The sequence below is a fragment of the Homo sapiens genome, chromosome 8, assembly GCF_000001405.40.
Source record: "Homo sapiens chromosome 8, GRCh38.p14 Primary Assembly".
Taxonomy (NCBI): domain Eukaryota; kingdom Metazoa; phylum Chordata; class Mammalia; order Primates; family Hominidae; genus Homo; species Homo sapiens.
In genome coordinates this window covers 98394824-98419011 of record NC_000008.11, presented here as the reverse complement: position 1 = coordinate 98419011, position 24188 = coordinate 98394824, and the positions used below count along the sequence as shown (strand labels likewise).

At 45.8% G+C, this 24188-nt stretch overlaps 1 protein-coding gene and 1 pseudogene across 3 annotated transcripts in view, besides 1 other annotated feature; both read left to right on the top strand.

Moving 5' to 3' along the window:
• The window catches only part of STK3 (serine/threonine kinase 3), a 598636-nt gene that overhangs the window by 523599 nt on the left and 50849 nt on the right, over positions 1-24188 (top strand). The window lies entirely within an intron of this gene.
• Positions 1808-2759: an enhancer, noted in NCBI's record as "VISTA enhancer hs908". NCBI's record gives its function as "enhancer in: neural tube[5/6] | midbrain (mesencephalon)[4/6] | dorsal root ganglion[5/6] | trigeminal V (ganglion, cranial)[5/6]" and the evidence as "EXISTENCE:transgenic organism evidence [ECO:0001131][PMID:17130149]".
• LOC100131849 (WASH complex subunit 3 pseudogene) lies at positions 5199-5697 on the top strand (annotated as a pseudogene).

Genomic DNA, 24188 nt, shown 5'->3' with positions numbered 1-24188 from the left:
GTGGCAGGATGCTGCAGTCCCAGCACAGTGCTGCACACAACACCATGCAGGCACCAAGGGTGGTGGGAGGTGCTTGGAAGCTACTGCTCTAAATGCACTGACTGCATGTCTTTGTCTGCAGGTTGTGGCAGAGTGGAGCACAGAGGGCTTGGAAAAGCCTGGCTGGTATAGATGGGAGGGAGAGGGCAGGGGGAGCTATAACATGTAAGAGTCTAGATGGGGCAGAATTCACCTAGATATGGAGTGGAAGCTCAAGGACCCTGCTCCAAAAACCCACCCCGCTCCTCCTCCCTTGACCTCTACTCCTTCCCTAGGCTGGGAAGTTGTGAGAAATCTCTCAGGGTAAGATCCCTTTCTGTCCTGGTCTGTTTGTCTTTATCATGCCCAGCTGTCTACCCTAGGACACATTCCAAGCTCCCAAACCTCCCTCAGTTCAGAGGTGCTCACAGCTGCTGCCCCAGCCCTCGCCCTTCTGCTGTGAAAGTGACACCTGCCCACCCACCTACCCATCCGCTGCCCATCGATCCATCCATCCATCCACCCACGTACCTATCCCACACCCTGGATGCCTCTGTGGGCTCCTGTTTCCATGGTTACTTCCAGGGCCTGAGTTGGCTCTGGGTTTTCTGAAAGATTCTCCAGCTCTAGGCTATTCCCCATGACAGCTTTGTTGCTGGACTCAAATCCTGGATAGCTTCTGAGATACCACGCTGCTTGTAGCTCTCCCTACCCACAGATCAGGCATTGCCTGCAGATTGGTCCATCAAAGTGATCAGTTTTCTGGACCAAAATAAAATCAGAACTGGACACAGTGGCTCATGCCTGTAATCTCAGCACTTTGGGAGGCCAGGGTCGGAAAATCACTTGAGACCAGGAATTTAAGACCAGCCTGGGCAATATAATGAGATCCCATTTCTACAAAAAAATTTTTTTAATTAGCTGGGGATGGTGGTACACACCTTTAGTACCAGCTACTGGAGAACCTGAGGCAGGAGGATTGCTTAAGCCCAGGAGTTCAAGGCTGCAGTGAGCTACAATTACACCACTGCACTCCAGCCTGGGCAACAGAGTGAGACCCTGTCTCTAAAAAAATTAATTAATTAAATTAAATTAAAAACTCTCCACTACTTGAACAGCGAGGCGTTCTGGAAGGAGAATGCCTGGGGGGCTGCCACAGGAAAGCAGGTGGAAGTTCCCAGAGATAGGCAGGTGCTTGGCTGGGACGGCCTCTTTGTAATAATAACAAAAGCTAGCATTTATTGGGCACTTACTGTAAGCCAGGCACTGTTATAAGGATTAACGTCTAGTAACTAGGTTAATCATCACAACAACATGGTGGGGCATGTGCTAGGATGATCTGAGGGGGAAACAGGCACAGAAAGGTTGAGTACCGTGTTCACAGTTACAGAACTCACCAATGATAGAGCCAGGATTCAAGGCAAAACAGGGTGGCTCCAGAAACTGTTTGTTTGTTTGTTTATTTATTTATTTATTTTTTGAGACAGAGTCTCGCTCTGTCACCCAGGCTGGAGTGCAGTGGCACAATCTTGGCTCACTGCAACCTCCGCCTCCCAGGTTCAAGCAATTCTCCTGCCTCAGCCTCCTGAGTACCTGGGATTACAGGTGGGCGCCAACACTCCTAGCTAATTTTTTGTATTTTTAGTAGAGATGGGGTTTCACCATGCTGGCCAGGCTGGTCTCAAACTCCTGACCTCGTGATCCACCCACCTCGGCCTCCCAAAGTTCTGGGATTACAGGCATGAGCCACCGCACCCGGCCAAAACTATGTTCTTAAACATTGCATTCACTGCTTCTCTACAGCCTTCCACTCCCCCACCCCTGGGATTCTGGAAGTTTCCCTGAGTCATTTTTTCAAGACAAGAGGTTCCTGAACACCTCCCCAGCACTCAGCTCTGCTCTGAGCCCACATGTGAGAAGCCCCCCTTTCCATTCTAGGCCCACCTGGGAGCAGCTGTCAGTTACTCAGAAGCCTGGAAGGGTCACAGCTGTTCTCAGGAGGAGTCCCCTGGATTCTGCCATCTGGCTGGTCTGTCTGTGGGCTCTGGAGGATTCCCCCAGGACAAAGCCAAGCTGCAGCTTGTCCTTAGAGACCTTCGGGAGGGTGGGAAGAAGCAATCCCATCAGAGAAACCCAGCTGAGGGAAGACACAAGATGTTCCCCACGAGTGACAAAAAGCTAATTCACACCCTTCCCTGCAGCCAAAAAATTAAGCTAATTTTTCATTTCTCTGCTTACGTGTGACTCAACTAAACATAGGCATCTAGGAATGCAAACAATGACTAGATTTTCTAATTTAGGGCAGTTTAATTAAATCTTGCTAAAATGACGGAGGCTCTAGGTATTTTTATCGTGGTAGAAAGCTCTGTGACTTGGAAAGAGGAGGGGTGGGGAACACAATGCTGGAAGCACCTCCTCTCCTGACCCTCTCCCACCTGCACTGGCCTCCAGGCCTGCCCAGTGGAGTGTGTCTCCTGAGAGAAGGAGCGGTCCTCTCTTAGGGTTCTAATTTCCTTTGCTCTTGTTTATATTAAAGGAACATGTTTCCTTACATTACATTCATTCTAATTAGCTGGGGCTAGAAAGAAAAAGTCCAAATCACTTAGCAAAAAAAAAAAAAAAAAAAAAACAGTTTCAAACACAAGATTATTTTTGAGAAAAATTTAGACTTCCCAGAAGTTTAAGGTATAAATATTAAGAAACAAAAATAAAAGATGTCAAAGCTAGAGTCTTCTAGTGCATCTTGATCGCCCAAATCCAGCTCTCAGTCCCTTCTGGGCATATGGAAGGATGACATTTCCCTGGCCCCTCTTAAGTTTGGAGGAACCACGTGGCTTGCTCTGGGCAATGAGCTGTGATCTGAGGTGGCAACTTGCATATGGGCCAGAGCATTGAATGGCCCAGCTTGTGTGAAAGCCTACAGTGTTTTCTCCCTCTGCTGTGGAAGTACATGTTGACATGATGGTGCCCCAAGGCCAAAGCAGCCTGGATCTCTGAGCTACCCCATGGAGTACAAGTGCCCTAGAGTCTCTGGGACCTGAAACAGACTGTGTGCATACAGCTGGGTCACATCACTGAGATTTGAGGGGGACTGGCTGTCTCCTATGGCAGAGTCTCTCTTACCCTGATGAACAAATAATGCTTTTGTAATAATCATTGTACAACAATACCACATTATTTTAATTATATTAGATTACTTTGGAATTTCAAAAAATCATCTGTTCAGTTAGCCTGGAATAGGATGAAGTTTACTTTTATTGAGTCTAGAGAAAATTGTTGGAGAACATGTTTAACCTATTAAAGCAAACTTTCTGTGTTCAGATGAAGGCTTTAAAATTTACCCACATTTCAGGGTAAAGATAATGGCAGCCTCTCAGAAGAAAAGGGGTCAGAATAAGAGTGGGATTATATTTCTCAAAGAATTGTGGTTGCAGGCACATCCATGAGTGGGAAGCAGACTCTTAGGAGGGAATAGAGATGGAGTGGTTGGGAAGGAGATGAGAAGATGTTTGAAGAATTTTAAGAAGGTTTTCTGTGTGATGTGCTGCCACATCAGGAAACCACTCATTATAATGTTTTAGATGAAGTAATGCCGACTACTATCATCAACAAAAGTATCGTGGCTCAGTCATGATAGAATTTCACTTCTTATTCACATAGAGTCTGTCTTAGTTGATTTATGCTGCTATAACAAAATACCCGAGACTGGATAATTTATAAAGAACAGAAATTCGTCATAATTCTGGAAGCTGGGAGGTCCCAGTTCAAGATTCTGGCAGGACTGGTGTCTGGCGAGGGCTGCTGTCTGTTTCCAAGATGGTTCCTTATTGCAGCATCCTCCAGAAGTGGAGACGTTGTGTCCTTACATGGTGAGAGGGTGGAAGAGAGTGAACTCACTCTATCAAGCCCTTTTATGAGAGCCTAATCCCATTCATGCAGGTACAACCCTCATGATTTAATCACCTCCTAAAGTCCCCACCTGTTTATCACATTGATCATTAAGTTTCAACATGTGAATTTTGGGGGACAAATTCAGATCATAGTAGAGTCCAAAATATTTGTTCTAAATTAGTGGGCATCTCTCCTACAAGTGATGATTCAGGGACTGGGCACCTCCCCATCTTCAACACATCCTTCCGATAGTGCAGAGCTCACTTACATCAAGCCAGGAGAAGGAGAAAGGGAGTAGAGATGGATACAGGATGTTTTTATAGTCTAGGCTCAGAAGTGGCCCACATCATACCCACTGGCATGTCATTTGTCAGAACACAGTCACATGACCAATCCTAGTTGCAAGGGAGGCTGGGAAATTTATCTACCTGTGTGGCCAGGAGGAAGAGGAATCAGGCGGGGTGAAGAGCTAGCCAGTTTATGTCACAAAAGGTCCCCACTGTTTCGAAGTTGGATTTGAGTATGCTTTAGCAAGCAACCCAATGTGGAAAGAGCTACAAACAGACCCAGCTTTGTGTAGGTTCTATTTGTGGGGTGGAGGGATGAGTGGGACTTTGCCTGAGGCACAATCTTCTGTTTCTTAGATTAAAATAATAATCATGACCTGACTCACAGAGACACCTTCTGGGATTGCTAAGTTGTTGGAATTGTAATACAAACAAGTGTAGGTGAGTCAGTTATAAGGACCAAATAGCATGGGAAAGCCTGAGAGGAAATGGTAGACCCTATTCTGGTGTCGAAATTACTATTTTATTTTATTTTTTTATTATTATTTTTTTGAGACAGAGTCTTGCTCTGTCGCCCAGGCTGGAGTGCAGTGGCACGATCTTGGCTCACTGCAACCTCCGCCTCCCAGGTTCAAGCAATTCTCCCACCTCAGCCTCCTGAGTAGCTGAGAATACAGGCATGCACCACTATGCCTGGCTAATTTTTGTATTTTTAGTAGAGACGGGGTTTCACCGTGTTGGCCAGGCTGGTCTGGAACTCCTGGCCTCAGGTGATCCACCCACTGTGGCCTCCCAAAGTGTGGGGATTACAGGCATGAGCCACCTGGCCTGGCCAAAATTACTCTTTTAGAGAAGAATATGGTTTTCAGGTCTCAGTACCACACACAGAATCAAATAAATATAGGGCCCTGTGAACCAGTTAAATGGAGGATGCCTACGAAAACTCCCTCTTGACACACCATTACTGGCTTGGGCGGCCCCATCTGGGAGGGGTTTGTGGGTGAACCCTGAGGCCCCCACCCTCGGAGAAGATGGATGACGATGGGCTTCCTCTCATGGGGTCAGGCATGACCTGACCAAGGTGCCAACTCTTCAACAGAAAAGAACGGTGGCTTTTCTAAACCAATTTGTGGTGCACACTGTAGAGTTCCTCAACTGCTTTTCTACGGTTTGTGAGGAGAAACTGGCAGACCTTTGTCTTTGTATCCAACAAATTGAAACAACTCTCAACATTTTAGACACAAAGTTGTCATCTGTCTCTGACCTAGATGATGTCACAGTTGAAGTATCTCCTTTAAGTGTCACTAGTGTCACAAATGGACTTCGGCACATTCTGAAGCCACTTCAGAGCAGTTACAGAACAGTACACAAGACTCTGGACCCCAGGAAAGTGAGGGATCAGCAGGAAATAGCTTAACTGTAGCCAAGGATCCAAGATATGCCAGAAATCTCAAAATAGCTCAAGTAGGTGTACCAGCAATGGCAATCAAAAACAAAATTAGGCCAGGCATGGTGGCTTGCGCCTGTAATCCCAATACTTTGGGAAGCCAAGGCAGGTGGATCACTTGAGTTCAGGAGTCCGAGACCAGCCTGGCAAACATGGTGAAACCCCATCTCTACCAAAAAATACAAAAAATAACCGGGCGTGGTGGCACATGCCTATAATCCCAGCTACTTGGGAAGCTGAGGCAGGAGAATCACTTGAACCTAGGAAGTGGAGGTTGCAGTGAGCCAAGATCGCGCCACTGCACTCCAACCTGGGTGACAGAGTGAGATCCTGTCTCAAAACAAAAACAAAGCAAAACAAAAAGCAAAATGATATCAGAAGGACTAGTCCCAGACCTTCCTGAGAGGCCAGATGCTCCAGTGCCTGATGGTGAAAGTGAAAAATTATAGAAGAAAGTTCAGATAGTGAATCTTCTTTTAGTAACTAAGCTTAATTTTGGTAAGAATTACATATGCATATGTAGGGATACATTTATATTCTATAAGAGAGAGAGCCTGAACTGTAACTTTTAGTCATAAAAACATCAAATGGCCACGTACACGTCCACCACCGAGCTTCTTCTATGTTAAAAAAGTAAAGCATTTATAACCTGAAAATCAAAAACCCTCTCTCTTGAGATTGCAAATCGGACATTAGCACATCCAATCCTGATAGATATGCAACTGCTTTAAGAAACAGGAGCTTTGTGCAAGGAATGAGGAGGTCAGTGATAAGGACAGTTGGACTCATTCACATTGTTGCCCTGCTGTAGCTGGGACCACCTCCCCGGGAGCACAACAGCTACTGTAAGGTTGGCAATCAAGTTGGCTTTGAAACTGTTTATACAAGCTGATTGCTACTAGAAACCTAAGAAATTCACAGGAAGTTCCATGCAAGGAACCAGAGAAAAAGGCTTTGAGCTGTGTTAGCGGCTCCATTTGAAGGTTTCAGGGGTGGTATGCAGCAAAGGCAGAGGAAAGATGTTGTTAGATGAGGCCTGAACAATGGAGACTGTTTGCAACTCTAACGCAGCCAGATGTCTGTTCTAGTGGCCAACCACCTCACTGCCCTAGAGACAGTAGAGGGTAGAGAGGAGGTTAGCTAGGATTTATGTATTTAATTCATAAGTAGGAATCTGTTACTGGCACAAATATTTTCCTGTGTTGTGGTAGGAGGAGCTACTATCGCAGGCAGCACCTCGGGAGCAATAGAAGCTAGCTTGGATAATGAGAAGCACTTGGATCAATCCTTGCGGGAGATAGATCAGCAACTTTTGGCAAAGAGTGGCTGTGCAATTTGAGAGCTGATTTTAAACTGGAGGGGCCTTTTGAATTCCCTCTGTTGATGTGGCTAATCAAGCCCAAGGAACAGAAAGAGGCAAAATGGCAGCTTCTGCAAGCAAGATGGAATAATTGAGTTTAAACTAGGGCAGTGGGGTGGTTTGGGGGCTGCTGTGTCTTAAGCTGAGAAGCAAGACGAATGGGAGAGAAGCTCCCTTGGTCCCACTCAGGGAACACTTCAGATCCAGCCTGGGACTTAGTACACCCTGATTTGTCCCTCGAGGAGTGATGTTGGTCACACATAAGGCATTTCTCAGGCCTCAGCATAAATGAGACAGTGTCGCCCCCCTGGGTACATTAAATTTTGGAGTAAGTAACTTGTGTTTTATTTGTGGCAAGAAACAACATTTTAGCTTGTAACTTGGAGTAAATGTGGTCTGTGGATATCGCCAAGGGGCAGAGTCTTTTGTTGGAAAGACTGGATGTTGTGCTCAGATGTTAATGATGTGGCAGGGGCAGGGCAGGCTGCAGAGGCACCAGACCCCACCGCCTTAAATCCCCAAGGCTCCACACTCTATAGGGGAAGAAGAAAGGAGAAGCTAGGTTGAATGAGGAGACGTATTGAGTGTTGTGAGGGGGCCTATTGGCCTTAAGTGAAGATGTTTTCCTGTGAATATGTTTCCCGCATACTTCTAAAAGGGAGTTATGCAGCCTAGTTGTTGGCTCTAGAAGAGTTGTAAGGTGATAGATTTTGTTGCACTAAATTCAAAGCACAGGCCAGTGGCTTCTCATGAGAAGAGCAGTTAGAGCAATGCAAAATCCTTGTGCCACATCATCAGAAAACCCATCTCCAAATCTTCATTTTTTCCTCAAGGATTTAGGAGTTGAATGTTTATTTCTTTTGACTATGCAAGAGCTGAAAAGGCCATGAGGACACTCAAATTTATGTGGGTTACACTTAGTAGGCGTGTACAAATGGGCATGGATGGTTGAAAATAAGCCTCATCTAAGTGTTGAAACCAATTGGTCAGACTTTCTGGGGGGTGGTGATGGATGCTTTGCTAGTACATAATTCATTGCAATAAGGACATGTTGTTGTCAAGAATACACTGCTAGAAATTATATTCCCAGTCTTAGGACTTTGAGCTGTACCAAAACTCCTATTGATCTGAGGGTAAATTATTAAGTGAAAAGAAACACTTAGAATCCACTCTTCCCCTTTCTTCTCTCTGTTAGCACCTGTACCATCTGTGAAAGATTTTGTTTTTGTAGACACGCAAATGTCTGTGTGTTTGTGGAGGGAATACTTTCTGGAGGTGAAGAAAGATGTAAGGAGGATGATAGAAAAGAGCAGGGAGGGTCATATCATAGACATACTTAATACTATTAATTCAATCACACACTGTCGACAAGAGAGATGGTGTCAGTGTTCTATCAACCATATCAATTAGTGCCAATTTGGTTATTCATCTATTTCTTTATATATCCACCCATTTGTAAATGTTTATCTAACTCTCCAAAAAAGCATCTGAGTCAGCTGAAATGTATTTTATCCCATTCCTCCTTCCTTCATTTATTCAACAAATATTCGTTAAGGTCTTACCGTGTGCTCATGAAAATACAGCTTTGAGCAAGGCAGACAGATAAAGGGTCACAGATAGGGCCACATGTTAGTGATGCCTGGGGGTCCCCAATCTGAACAGCAGTTCCTAGCTCTCTATTTCATTATCTCCAGAAGTAGATGAAGGCGAGAGGACGGCGTTCACATGAGTCCACATGTGTTTTCACTAGGGAGGGAGGGAGTGCATTTAGTGTTTCCGCTGCTCCTTGGCCTGTGGACTCTCCCAATTTTGATTTGCACAGTGTTTGAGTCAGATTGCCTTCTAAGATCTTCCAAACCGATTTTAGCCAGCTGGTTTTTAATGCAGTAACCACCAAGATATTCCATTATCTCTAGATCCTTGGTTTTTAATTTTTCCCCTTTTCTAACAGCCCAAATTAGAAATAATGTGGAAAAACTTAGGAAACACAAGTGCAGAGAAAATAAATTAGACCAGTTCAATGGCCTTATATCCTAAACAAAACTTGATTGTTGGACCTTGGACTGGACTGGAGTCAACTTTTTCCTTCTGGGCACATGGCACTCTCCGGCTGAGGAAGGGACCAACGAGGGTATTTGAGAGACACAGGTCTTCCCTCCAGCACCCAGCCTGGCCAGAAGGCATCTGGCAAGGGAGGTGTAGGAGCCTGCTCTGTGCTGTAAGACAGCTGGGCATGAGTCAGAAGGGACTTAAGGGCAGTGCAAGCCCCCAGAGCCAGGCTGATCATATTTTTCAAGATGTAAAATGGAAACACATGGTTTGACACATAAGTTACAACAGGACAGAGAATCTGGAATTAGAAAATTCACATTGCAAAATTCACATTGCAAGGTGCGGTAGCTGGGTCCAAAGTGGGATTCAGAGAGATGAGAGGTTTGCTTTTGGTTGAACTGATAGCCCATCTGTGGAACTCTGAGCACCTGTCTATGGGCAGTGACATGCACAAGGCCTTTGCTGGCCAGACAGCATGGAAGATGTCGATGGCAGAGTTGCCTTGGGAAGGAAGAGAAGTAGAGACTGAAGGATGCAGGGAATGGCAGAGGGTCAGTGCCTCACGGGCTCCTCGTGCAGACAGAAGGCTTAGAAGGAAAGCCAGAGGGGCTGCTGTTATAAGGAGGTTGAGGACACTGGTATAAGCAGAGGTGCTTTGAGGCTTATGGACTAAATGTGGGAGACACTCTTCTTCTATCTCTGTATGGAACTCAGCATTGCTCTCACATCTCATGGGCTGGTGAATTTAGATGCTCCAAGACATGGCACCTCTCCTCACCCAAAATAATCAGCATTCTCCAAGGGGCATCATCAGCAGTGAATTCTGAGAAAGCTTCAACTGAGTGGACTGGGGCATGGGGCTGAGGAGACCATTTCCAGTTGAGAGATCCTGTGTGAGAAGAGAGAGGCAAGTAGAGGAGTGCGAGGTCAGGGTGTTCATGGGGTTTCAACAAGGCGAGCAGAATCACAGATACAGTAGAAGACAGCATAGCAACAGGGGACGTTTTCTTTCAAACTCAAAATTGGGTCACATGGTAGGAGACACAGCTGGATAATAGGATAGAGTATCTGAATTCAGGACTGGTCCAGAAAAATGGCCAAAGCTGTGTCAGATTAATTTAATGGAAGGTTTCATTTGATTAGATTCCCAAGCCCTGGCTATGCATGCTCATTTATCCAGCCTATTGTCTAAGCAGAACGGGAACCCACAGTCAACTTGATAGAACAGCAGGAGCGCTGCCAGCCAGCCTCTGGCTTTGAATTCTTTTTCTGATCTAACATTTTAAGGAGGATGTGTCAGGAAGGCCTATTTAGAATACAAATGATTGCCTAAACTCTCTTAAACGCTTTAAGAGTATATTTTAATCATTGAGTCTTCCCTTAAGCCCAGCAGAGTATTTGAGAATAAATTGTTGTGCGTTTGAGTCAACCAAAATTGGGTAGACTTGCTGAATTTATGAGCCTTTCTCTTCTCCTGGTCTTTCTCATGGCCGTGGCAATGTGCACTTCCACTAGCTTGTGAAATGCATATGAAGTATAATTTTCCCCAAATTGATCTGTTCTACATCACTGAATCTTAGCCATTGCATTTTTATGCCAGAATCAAATTTAGCTTATTATTATTGTTGTGGTGGAAAATAATTATAATCCTTTAATTGTCATGGCACTTCATAATTTTATAAGAATTCACAAATGTTATTTAATTCCATCCTCACTATAACACTGAGGGCCAAGGAGAAGGGGAATCATCATCTGGGCCTGCAACTCCAAACTACCCCCTTTTTCCAAATGGCCAATTGAGGTTCTTAAAGGCTGGGTGACTTGCACATAGCCACACAGATCTAAGCTGTGCAAGCAGGAAATGTGGAAGCTCAGGGGAGCTGCCCTGCCAGTGGTGAGTTCTGGTCTCATCAAGTGCGTCTCATCAAGTGCTCTCTGCAAAGCCGATGAAGTGGGTTTGATCATCTCTAACTTGCAGGTTCACTGCGAGTATAATGGATATGCAGGTGCCAGCACAACGCTAGACCCGTGCCAAGGGCTTAGTTGCTCCCTTTCTTCCCCCATATCCAAGTGATTGCAGGTTCCATTTAGAGATTCTGAAGCCCACTGGTGCTGAGATGTGACAGCATAAAGCTTTTCCCTCAATCAGCCTGGAGGCTAAGGGGCCAGTAGTCATACCATGCATGCGCGCGCGCGCGCACACACACACACACACACACACACACACACACACACACACACATGCACTCATCTGAGTGGGCTAGAAGGTGAGCTCCTCTCGGAATTTAAAATCTGCAGCAGGTTAAGAGGAAGACAGCTCTTCCCCATCAGCTACTGTTCTGGTCTGTAGAATCAGCTCCATAAATATCCCCACCCTCTCTCCACTACACTCACATTCATGGCAGTTCCCTCTTCAGCTCTAAACTTTACAGCTCTCTAAGTCTTTGCCTTTCAAGTCGAGCTGGTTCTCACACCTGCCTGCTGACTTACGCATGGCGTTTGGCCTCCTCCAGTCCCAGTGACTCTGCTGGGTGTATCCTCACTCCCTCCCTGTCCAGTGCTCCCTTTGCTCGCAGGTTGGTGAAGGACGTAGGAATAGCCTGGAACACTCTCTATTTGAGCCTTGCACTCTCTTAGCAAGTTCAGCTTGAGTCAGGAAGGGTGGGGATCACAGGATGTCACCACTGTGGCCGCCTCTTCCAGGCTGGACTCCAGGGCGACAACCTTTGCCATCACCTGGTCCAACTTCCTTTTTTTACAGAAGGGAAATTCTATGCTTAATTCTGGACTTAAACTACCTGAGCAAGATGTTTTCATTCATTTGTGGCAGGATAACTGGATAAACATCTCTTATTTATCCCTCCTCAGGCTCCTCTGGAAAGAGAGGTGCCCCATCTGGTTTCAGTGAGGAATTAAATCCAGAAGACTTAACTGGAGTCCTTTTAGCCAATAGCCTGCAGGCAGATGTCTGGAGGCACTGGTTCATAACTCAGGGACGCTAAGGCTGGCTCGTGGGTGACTGTCTCAGTCTTTTCCTCACACTGTCACCTCATATTTTCAAGGGGGCTGCTGTACCCCCAGGCATGTGTCTGTATATCGCACAGGAAGAAGGAAAGTAAGGACATTGCCAGCAAATATCTTACATCTCATCAGCCTATACTGTGTCTCCTGACCACTCCTAACTGCAAAGGATGCTGGGAAAAAAAGAGCATTGTAGCTTTTCCAGCCTCTGTGGTAGGCGCAGATAAGGGATTAGAGTTGGGTGTTACTGAATCAATGTATCAGACACTTCTCAGTCAGGCTAGAGCCAGATTTAACTAGATTTAGCAGGAAAAAGTATGTTTCTTTCACCTGCATGTAATGAAGGAAATCTATGTCCTTCATACACTTAATAAACCTGTAAGTCTCTACTATGGGCAGGTACTGTGCTAGCTAGACATTACAATGTGTGGGGGCAGACACAAAGATGGGAACAGTAGACACTGGGGAACCCTAGAGGGGGGAGGTTGGGAGTAGGGGAAGGGTTGAAAAATGATTGGGTACTATGCTCACTACCTGGGTGATGGGATCATTTGTACACCAAATGCCAGCAACACACAATTTACCCGTGTAACACACCGGCACGTGTACCCCCTGAACCTAAGATGAAAGCCGAAATAAATAACATAAAATAAAATAAAATAAAATAAAATAAAATAAAATAAAATAAAATAAAATAAAATAAAATAAAATGCCTGGGGGGAAGATAAGTAAGCCTATATTCAGTTAGCAAATACTTACTGGATGTTTATTGTGTGTCAGGCCCTGGAGGATTGGAGAATGAAGATACATCCTTGGTTGCCCATAGCACCCAGTCTACTTTGGAACAAGAGTGGTGTACAATGGGAACATAGAGGAGGGTGCCAAATTCAGATGGTTAAAAAGAGCCCTCCTGGTGGAGGTGACACTGACCTGGGTCACCTTATGATATGGTTTGTCTGCATCCCCATCGAAATCTCATGTTGAATTCCCATGTGTTGTGGGAGGGACCCAGTGAGAGGTAATTGAATCATGGGGGCAAGTCTTTCCCATGCTGTTCCCGTGAGAGTGAATAAGTCTCACGAGATCTGATGGTTTTAAAAAGAGCAGTTCCCCTGCACAAGCTGTCTCTGTTTGCCTGCTGCCATCCATGTAAGATGTGATGTGTTCTTCTTTGCCTTCTGCCATGATTGTGAGGCTTCCCCAGCTGTGTGGAACTGTAAGTCCATTAATCCTCTTTCTTTTGTAAATTGCTCAATCTCAGGTATGTCTTTATCAGCAGCATGAAAATGGACTAATACACCTTAGTATCACCATTTCAGGAGAGGCATCTGTATTTCCTGACCCACTGCTAATTAGGCTCTGAGGCGTCTAGGTTCTAGGCCATGACGGAGGGCATCCTTCCAATTAAGTTACATTCCACGCACAGTGATTGAGTTCCTACTCTATGCTTATGATATTTACAACTAAGAAGAGAGAATAATAATAAGATAATAATAATAACAATATTACCACCACCACCATTTATCAAGGGCTTACTATGTGCCTACATGCCAGACAAATCCTAAGCACTTTATGTGTATTAACTTATTTAATCCTCAGAACAATCTGGAAACCTGGCATCTCCCCACTCATCCAAAATTGTCACCCCTCTCCTAGGGGCACCATCAGAAGTGGATTCTCAGAAAATTTTAGCTGAGTGAGAGAGGGTGGGATAAGGTTATGGGGATTAGTAGACTTGTAGACTTTCTGGGGACAAGAAGTCCTATATGAGAACATTGGGGCAAGAACAGGAACTGTTGGAATATTGATATCTCTGGGGCCAAATAGGGATTCATTACAGAAATAATAAAAGGCTACATAGCTACAAGGGCCTTTTTTTCACCCAAACTGAAAGTTCAGTCATGTGGTTGGAGGCATGATTGGACAATGAGACAGGTTATCTGTATTCAGGACTGGTCCTTAACTTGATTGTGGGTTTTATTTGATTGACTCTCTCAACCCTAGTTATTGTGTGCTTATTCATTCAGCTTATTGTTAAGCAGAATGGTAACCTACAGTCAAGTTTTATTTTATTGATTTATTTTTGAGACAAGGTCTCACTCTGTTGCCCAGGCTGGAGTACAGTGGTGCGATCATGGCTCATTGCAGCCTTGACCTCCCAGACTCAAGCAATCCTGCCACCTCAGCCTTCCAAGTAGCTGGGACTACAGGCATGCACCACCATACCCAGCTAAATTTTTTTTTTTTTTTTTTTTTGAGACAGAGACTTGCTCTTTCACCCAGGCTGGAGTGCAGTGGCACCATCTCGGCTCACTGCAAGCTCCGCCTCCCGGGTTCACGCCATTCTCCTGCCTCAGCCTCCCGAGTAGCTGGGACTACAGGCATCCGCCACCGTGCCTGGCTAATTTTTGTATTTTTTAGTAGAGACGGGGTTTCACCATGTTAGCCTGGATGGTCTCGATCTCCTGACCTCGTGATCCACCCGTCTCGGCCTCCCAAAGTGCTGGGGTTACAGGCGTGAGCCACCACACCCAGCCATACCTGGCTAATTTTTGATTGTTTGTAGACATGGAGTCTCGCTATGTTGTCCAAGCTAGTCTTGAACTCCCAGCCTCAAGTGATCTTCCTGCTTCAGTCTCCCAAAGTGCTGAGATTACAGGCATGAACCACTGCACCTGCCCCACGGTCAACTTTTAAAAAGCCAGCAGGAGCATGTCCCATAGAGAGATGCTAGAATAGAACTCTGAGAGACAGCATATAGTTTTTCTGGCAAAAGGACAGGGTTTGAGGAAACTAGATTCGCTGTAAATGGAGGCAATATCATTGAAAAGACTGATCAAAAGAGGATAAGCACTAAATTCAGTGCATAAACTCTGCCTCAATCTTGGGCTGACCTCTGAATTATGCATTTGTGGGGGTTTGACCTGCCACCCAGGAGACAGAATATGCAGTGTGAGTTCAACCAAGTCAACTGCCTACTGAAACAAATCAAATAAAACAAAATCTGCATATATCCCCACAGCCATCCTAAGCAGCCAGTGTCATTTCTCTTGTTTTAGAGGTGGTGGTAGCAGAGGCTGAGGGTGCCCCACCATATCCCCTTGGCACTTACCAGAGCACTGGAGGGCACTGGAGGTTTGGAGGATGAAGACACGTCCTTGGTTGCCTATAGCACGCAGTCTACTTTGTAACAAGGGTAGTGTGCAAGAGTAGTGTGTGACTCTGCCTTAGGCTATCTCTTGTGGCTGGAGCCTGCTCTACCTGTGCATAGGGCAGGCCAGAGGGACACAGATATGATCCCTGTCCCCCTCCCCAGGGGCAGCCCTCAAACAATGACTGGTGGGAATTGGTGGATCAATATGCCAGCTCCTTTGCCCTGGGGTTAGGGAGATGGGGGATAATTCCAGGACATGTATTTTCCACTGCCTCTAAGAGTTCCCCAGCAGGATTAAACTTCTGTTTTGTCACTGGCTTGACAATGATCTTTCATTGGCTTACTTCCCTTCCTTACCTGCTCCCCTGCTGGGGCTTCCTGGGATCACCTCCCAATTAAAACACCAGCACCAGAACACCCATCTTAGGGGGTACTTCTATGGGGGAGACAAAACTAAGATGATGGGGAAGCCCAGGCTCAGAAGAGTTAAGCAAACTATCCTGGGTTCAAGTAATTAAGTGGCAGCCAGAACTCAAGTCTGGGGTTTTTGGATTCACAGCCTAACTTCTAAACGCCTACCCTGAGCTGGGAGTGTCTGAGTCTCTGGAGTCAAAGGGGACCTCCTGCAAGGCAGGCCCACCTTCAAGTGGACAGCTGCGAGTGTGGTTGTGTGGTGGGGAGGAGTCCACTGCCCTTGGCCTCCCTCAAATGTCAGCAGCTGTGGGAACAGCTGGAGACTGATAACTCAGTTTTTACTTCTTCACAATTAGTGCAAGGCCCAAGAAAGTCAACAAAGGAAAGGTCAGGCCCTCCCCAGAGGCTGCTCCTCCTCTTCTGGGGCTGCGGTGTCCCCATTGTGGGGTCTCCTCTCTCAGCCTCTCACCCAGGGTTTCTCTGGAAGGGGTCAGAGAAGATGCTAGTCCCCTGGGGCTCTGCTTGGAACATGTGCTCATCAGTAAAGGTTGACAGAGAACATACTGCAGGCTCCTCCCCAGGGAAGGGCAAGTACCACCTGGCAGAGTCTCTTCTAGGGCTGAGGGAACAAGCACAGACTGTTCCCAAGGCATGTCCTCCTCGCCTGGCTGGCCCTGCACAGATGAGGCCCTCAGGAGTTGGGACAAACACTCCCTGGGAGGAGGAGGCAGATGATTCAGGCTGAACTCATGGGAGACCACCCCAGACTCCCAGGACAGCAGGGCCCCCTCCGTCCCGGAGGGGACACGGAGGCAGAGGAGAGCACCTATCTGGCTTTGCTCTGCTGTACTGGGGACACAGAACCCTCCCTGTTTCTCCTGTGGGGCCCAGACTTTCGCTTCCTTTCAGAAACTCAGCCTCACCAGGAATGAGCCAAACACAGACTCCAGGGAGCTCCGATCCCTTGGACTCTCTGAAAGAGGACACAGGAATGTGTTAGGATGCTAGATCTGGCTCAAGATATGCAGGCCAGGATAGTCTCTCCACAGTGGTATGCAGATCTTGGGGAAAGATTCTGCTATGGCTGAATGGGTTAGTGGCAAGTGCACCGGCCTTATGGCTGGGTGGGTCTGGGTTCAGGTCCCTGCTCTGACTCTCCCTAAGATCCCTTAGGAAAAAGAAGATAATGATGTGATGAGGATGCTACCTTTATATAATTGCTAAGTACTTAGTAAGTGCTAAATAAATGGTAAAGCTATTATTAATACCAATTATACCTGGGGAAGTATAGAACAGCAAGGATAGTATAATCTTATGTATATAAAATTGTATATAGATAGGATGTTTACCAAACATTAATAGTGGTTATCACCGTGTAGTGGGATTTGGGGGTAATTTTTACTTTCTTCTTTTATTTTTCTGGGTGTTCCTTGAATTTTTTTTACAATGCATGCGCACAAGAATAATTGCTCGTCTGTAACCTCAATTAGCTCCAGTAAAGGCTGGATTCTTGATATGCTTAAGTTTGGAAGTTTGGGATTAGGCACTTGAGGGAACCTGAATTACTCTTCATAGCAGGGAGAGAAGAATGTGGGTTCCCAGAGCAACCTGAGAGGAGATGAGACTGGGAAGAGGTAGGGGAGAAAAGGGAGCAAGTTGACAAAATCCCATGTGGTCGGCAACATAATCTTAAATCTCCCACGTGGTCTACTACCCACTCAGATGCTTGGTGTGAGTGATTGTTGTTGTGGGATATGAAATTGGAGCCACATTTCACATGTTGTGTGGGGTCAGACAGAGGCAGCATCTGAACACATACAACCCACAAATGAACAATCCATTCTGTTTTTCCAGGAATCAGCAGAAGCCTTGGAAAGCCTTGTGAGTTCCACAGGACACAGAATTGCTTGAGCTTGAGCCAAATTGTCTCTGTTATCCATTGCTACATTAAAAAAACACTTCAAACTTATTGGCATCAAACAACAATAATCATTTATTATATCTTTCCAGGTTCTGGGGGTTGGCTGGGCTCCGCTGGGTGGCTCTTGCATGGGGTCTCTCCTGCAGTTGCAGCTGGAGTCCCAGCAAAGCCTTCCCCATCCACATGTCTGGTGTCTGGGCTGGAAAGCCTCAGGCAGCTGGAGCTGGAGCACCTGGGGCTTCTTGCGATTTCTCTCCATCTCTATGTGGTCTCTGCATGGTGCTGGCAGCCGGGCATCTTCAGGGGGCTGGACTTCTTACGTGGCTGTCCATGGCTCCTAAGGCATGTGTCCCGAGAGAGAGAGCCAGGTGGAAGCTGTGTGGCCTTCCTAACTTGCTTTTTGGAAGTTGCACAGTCAATTATATGCACTCCATCAGTTGGAGCAGTCAAAAGGCCCACCCAGATTCAAGGAGAGATGACACAGCCGCCATCTCTCGATGGAGGAATTGCAAAGTTCTGGAATGAACATATGGGATTGAAAATAATGTTGTGGCCTTATTTGGAAAATACAGTCTGCCACAGGACATTTCACAGATGTTGAGGGGCAGGGCAGTCCCCAGCTGATATCTGAGTTACAATCAGGAAAAAACAACAAAACTATTTTTTTTTTAAAAAAGACAAAATATTAACTGAAATAGACTTCAAATCAAATCTAAGATTATTTAGAAGAACATGGATGAAGAATAGGGACTTTTATTGTAGCAGATTTACTGGAATTGGCTGTGAAAATCATCATGAAAGTGAACAAGCCAGAAAGAAAAATGTTACTCTTTTGTTCAAAACTTTCTGGATGGAGCCAGCAGTGCTGGAAATGGAACAGGAGAAGCCTGGAAGAGGGCCCGAGGGTCAGAAGGGTCAGACCTTGGCTGTTGGCAGGGAAGGCAGGGATCTGCGTGAGAGAGATTGCTGAGCTGAGACGTTCAGGACAGAGCCCGGGATGGGTGCAGGGAGGGACAAACCTCAGTACGGCAGGCGCCTGCTGTGTCTACATGTCACCTGCCTTTGCTACATGTGTGTTCCCTCGTGGTGACACCTGGGGGCACAGCCTTGGGGCCTGGGAATCTGTTGCCTTGCTCTGGGCTTCAATAAATGAGTCCAGGGCTCACGGGCTTGCTCTTCCTTTCATTATGGAATCCCTGGACTTGGACTTCAGTAACCATCTCCTGCAAACGATGGCCCTTCACTTCAAGGAACTGGCTCCCCCTCTGGGGGCTCTGGCTTGTCACTGACTCTGACTCTGCATTCTTGCATCTCTACAGTCAGACCTGGAATCCCTGAGCATGGGTCTGGAGGGAGCCTGAGTGTCATTTGGGTTGGAAAGCAGCTCTTGCTCACCACCGGGATCTGATGCGTGGGTAGCAGCTTCTATCAAGAAGGATCATGAGGTTGCATTTGGGATCAGAGGGGAAAAGGGCCTCGATCAATGGGCAGTGGAAGGTGGAGTGGTGATACAAGTTTGCAAACACTTCTGAACTCTGTTTTATTTCTGGGCAGCAATAGAGGGTGACCCTCCCGAAGCACGTGGTCATCTCTCCTTTCCTCCCAGATCTCAGGGCTGGCATTCCATGGCCTCCTGTAAGCCACACCCCATTCTCTACTGCTCTCAGTTGGTGACATAGTGGCCAGTTCTTGCTCTGGCTTCCTTTTGGAGATGGAGGGCAGTAGATCGGCAATTCATTCTCTTTAGGTGAATTATCTTTAGATGAATCACCCCTTTGATCTTCTTGAAAAGACCTCAGAGATCGTCTAATTTTACCTCTTATTTTGCAAATAAGGAAACTGAGGCTAAGAGAGATAGAAAAGCTTTGTTTGCCAGTCTTCCCTTCAGCATCTCAACAAGACTTTGCCAAGGGGCCCGCTTGGGGCATGGCACAAAACCCCCTTCCCACTGTCAATATCTCCCCTCCAGTCTCCTTCCCTGCCGTGGCCAGGCCACGTGGAAACTCATGCCAAAGAGCGTCAACCGGGAATGTGTCTTCTTTCTTGAAATACGTTATGGATCAGCAGGCAGCCCCCTCAAGACCCCAGCAATGAAGCTCGCTTGTAGCCCGGCACACAGTAACCCAGAAACATATGTGGTGAGCAATAACAGTCATAAATTTTATGAGATTATGTGTTCCTAATGTGAGATTTCAGGCTGATCTGTTTGTTGAGTTATGCCAAACTTCAGCATGATTCAATCAAGTTTTGCTTAATCTTCCCTTATTTACTCTGGGTGGGGGTGAGTCACGGAGTATGTCTCTAGTCCAGTCTGCTGAACTAATTTACCCCAAGGATTTTGATGGACTGGTGATTTGTTCTCTTTGAATATTCAGTTTATTTGCTTATAGCATTAGACGAGGTCTGGATTACATGCAGTGAACGTCTGTAGCCATGCTGGGGACCAGGACCTCTTTGGAGAGTCCACACTAGGGACAGAGAGCACCTTGAAGATTTCACAGTTTCCTTTCAGTCAAGGCCAAATCATGCAAAATATTTTGTTACCTGTTGATGAACTCACGGGATTTAACGCTGTGGCCTCTTTATCACAGAGAAAGGCGTTTTGGCCAGCTCCCTGCATCTCTGACCCTAGGCGGTGTGGATCTGGAAGAAACAGGGAATATTACCATCTTCTCCAAAGATGTAAAAGCCTGGAAAATTTGCCCGAGGCTGGGAGTGACTCCAGCTGCCAAGCATCTCCATCTCCCAGTGTCCAATTTTTGGCAGCCTCGGGGGAGATGGGAGCATGCAGATGGAATGTGAGGTCTGTGTCCTCAATGCCTCATCTCAGTGCACTGAGGAGATGTCAAGTCCCCTAGGACTAAGAGCGGCGAGGCACAGCCTGTAGTCTGATGGTGAGGGTTTGGGATCTCCTGGCTTCCATGGGATGGGAGAATTGGGGGTTTTGGCCTTCCATATTTAAGGCTAGGGTGGAAAGGGTTTTCCTTGATTTCATCTTTGATCATGATGCCCACTGTTCCAGTTTGCTCGGGACTGAGGGGTTCCCAGGATGTGGGGCTTTCACAGCGAAAAAGGGGAAAGTTGTGGGAAACTAGGAGAAGTTGGTCACCATAATTTTGATGTTCCTTAACTTTGGTAAGTCATGCCCTAAGATGCATCCAAAGCTTTGGGTAGGAATGGGAGGGTCACTCTTTCCTTCCCAAGTAGCTGCTGCATGGCCTCGGGTCTGGAAACAAAGATTCCCCATCCACCCCAACCACTGTAAGAGTGAAAGTTTTCCTGCTCAGTTTCCCAGACACGTGATGCCCTTCGCTCTCTGCTGAGGGGTGGCAGCAGGTTTTCCTGCCAATGTGGGGCATTGACATGCTCTTAGCCCACACTAAGAGATAGGGAAGCCCACAGCTTGCTTGGTAGGCTATATTAGTCCATTCTCACACAGCTATAAAGAACTACATGAGACTGGGTTATTTATGAAGAAAAGAGGTTTAATTGACTCACAGTTCCACAGGCTGTGCAGGAAGAATGGTTAGGAGGCCTCAGGAAACTTTCAATCATGGTAGAAGGTGGAGGGGAAGGTGGCACGTCTTACCATGGTGGAGCAGGAGAGACAGAGAACAAGCGGGCAACTGCCACACACTTTTAAACCATCAGATCTTGTGAGAGCTCACTCACTATCATGAGAACAGCATGGGAGAAACCGCTTCCATGATCCAATCATCTTCCTCCAGGTTCCTCCTTCAACAAGTGGGGATTACAATTCAACATGAGATTTGGGTGGGGACACAGAGCCAACCCATATCAGAGACAAACAAGCAGAAGCAGTTTCTGAGGCTGGACATCAGCATTCCTGAAACCTTGATAATCTGAAGCAGTTCTTTTCTTTTTATTTCCTTTTCTTTCTTGTCTTTTTTGAGACAAGGTCTCACTCTGTTGCCCAGGCTGGAGTGCAGTGTCATGATCACGGCTCACTGCAGCCTTGACCTCCTGGGCTCAAGTGATCCTCCCACCTCAGCCTTTCAAGTAGCTGGGACCACAAGCACCTGCTATCCGCCCCCTCACCCAGCTAATTTTTGTAATTTTTGTAGAGACAGGATTTCACCGTGTTGCCCAGGCTAGTTTTGAACTCCTGGATTCAAACAATCCTCCCACCTTGGCCTCCCAAAGTGCTGGGATTACACGCATGAGCCACCACACTTGGTCCAGAAGCAGTTTCAAGCTAATTGTAAGCTGGCAGCAGGTTTTGGATTTATCTGTCGGACAGAGGGATGGGGGACTGTGTGTGTGTGTTTTCTTTCTAGGAGTAAAACTCAGAACACTACTGTGAACTGTTTGGTTATAAGGGTAACGTTCAGATTCTGTTGCACTCTGGTTAAAAGTGTGGACTCTGGAGCCAGACTCTGTCATTAATTTGACCTTCGGTAATTAGTGTAACCTCCTTGGGCCTTAGTTTCCTTATCTATAAAATGGACACAATAGTGAGGTGGCTTCAAGGATTAAACTAATTAATATTCACAAAGAACTTAGAATAGGGCCTGGTACATAGTAATTACTCAAAAAATCTTATCTATGGTACTAGGATGAAATGGCAGAGTCAAACATGTTAAATTAACTTTGTGCAGTCATGTGTGAAGTTGCCTTGGTTGTCATCAGAACTGCACACCAGCAGTCAGCGTGGCTGCTTGTCACTTCAGCCAGATGTTCTCACTGCATCTCTCATTCTGTCTTGCCACCCAGTCACTGCCTCCCAGGGAGTGGGAGTTTGAGTCTGGACCTAAGTAGAGGCTGTGGAGTTTGACAAAGTTTTATTGAAGGCCTGGATTGGCAGAACATCCATGCAGAAAAGATCACTGGCCACTGGCCATCAGACATGAAAATTCCAGGATCTCAATGGCAGAGGCCCTTCACCAGGGACCACTCCTGGCTGGTCTCCTGCCTACCATGCTGCAGGGCAGACTGCCTCCTCCCAAGCCATGGCGTCAACCACCCCTCTTACCATGAGTCCAGATGCCAACAACCTTCTTTCTTCTTTCAACAGGAAGAAAAGCCTCCACTCTCACCCCATCTCCCAGTAGACACAATAAGCATCTGCAGATACACAATTGCTTTGGATGCTTCTTAGGGCAATATGTTGAATTTCAGCTCCTGTATTATTTTGGATATACATAGCATTAATTTTATGTAAAACATCTTCCCAAATGAGTCCTGAGCAAATAAACTTAACAGCGGATGTTTTTGAAAGCTTACCTTTGGCTTGAATTTTATAATCCTTGTCTTTATTAATATATCAAAATTTTCTAAAGAAGAATTGGATAGAGTCTCTAATTGAGTTTTTAGTGCCATAATGGCATAAACTCAACTCTCCCATCATGCATTTGACAGTGTTTCAAATTTATGTTTGGTAAATGTGTTTTTAATACACAACATTTCACTGAAGCTGAAAGGCAGTTGTATAGATCTGGATGGTACAAAAAAATTCAGTGGTGTCAGAAGAGATTTTTCCTGCACCATTCACCACTAAGATTAAAATATCTAGTCAAGAAAGAGAAAATGCCCTAGAATCATCTCTTAGAATCATCTGTTTCATTCTGTCCTGTTTTCCATGCATATTTGCAACATTGTGATATTCAAGGCACTTCAAATTATTTTATTCTTGATTGGTTTTGTAGGTGGTTTACTAACATTGTTTGTAATCCTTCCCCAGTTGTGACATTTGCTGGAGAAAAAAATCCCCAATATGTTTGCATATAGAAATATTTGCATTTTGAGAATCCACAAATCCAACAACAACAAAAAAGTTATCTGTTCTATATCTGTCAGGGATTGTGTCTCAAACACATCAAGGTTGTAGCCAAAATAATGAATAATAGTTAGCTCTTTTTACCTTATTCAGACTATTTCACTCACTGCATCTGCTACAATTTTAATTAGTTTTGTATTTCATTCTCCAAATAGGTGCAATATTATTTAGTGTCAACATTTATGTTATGCAGAAACATTCTGCCATAATATTATCAAATTTGGCTGTGGCTTCTGCCAAATGGATAAAATTTCCATTATCATGTGCATGCTCACAAAGTTTTTTGGATGCTCCTCTGAACACTAGATCTTGCTTGCCAAAAATTAAACCATGTAAAATCTGCAGTGAACAATAGCACAATAATTTTTCCTCGTTTTTGTAATGTATTTGCAACATTGATAGTTTTTTTTTTTAATCAGATGCCAGCTTTTCAATACTGTATTAGTCAGACTAGGTCAGGCAATGCTTCAGTAACAAGCAATGCCAAGATCCCAGAAGTCTGACACAATTGAAATAGATTTCATATTTGTGCAATACCTGCTGCAGGCCTGGGTAACTTCTAAGGCAGCTTCACTTCATGGCCTGGCTCAGCGATCCACACAGACAGAGACACCACCACCCTGTGGCTTTGCCATCTGGAACACAAAGCCTCCTCAGTCCATGTGGCAGGCGAGAATGGTGGAGGGTTCTAAACAAACATTGAAATGCTTCAGCTCAGAAATGACAGGATCCCTGCTGCTCACTGCCGCATTGACTCCACTAGTCATGTTTCTTCTCTCTGTGGCAAGGGGAGTGAGCAGAGATGTGTAATCTTCACACTTGCCTG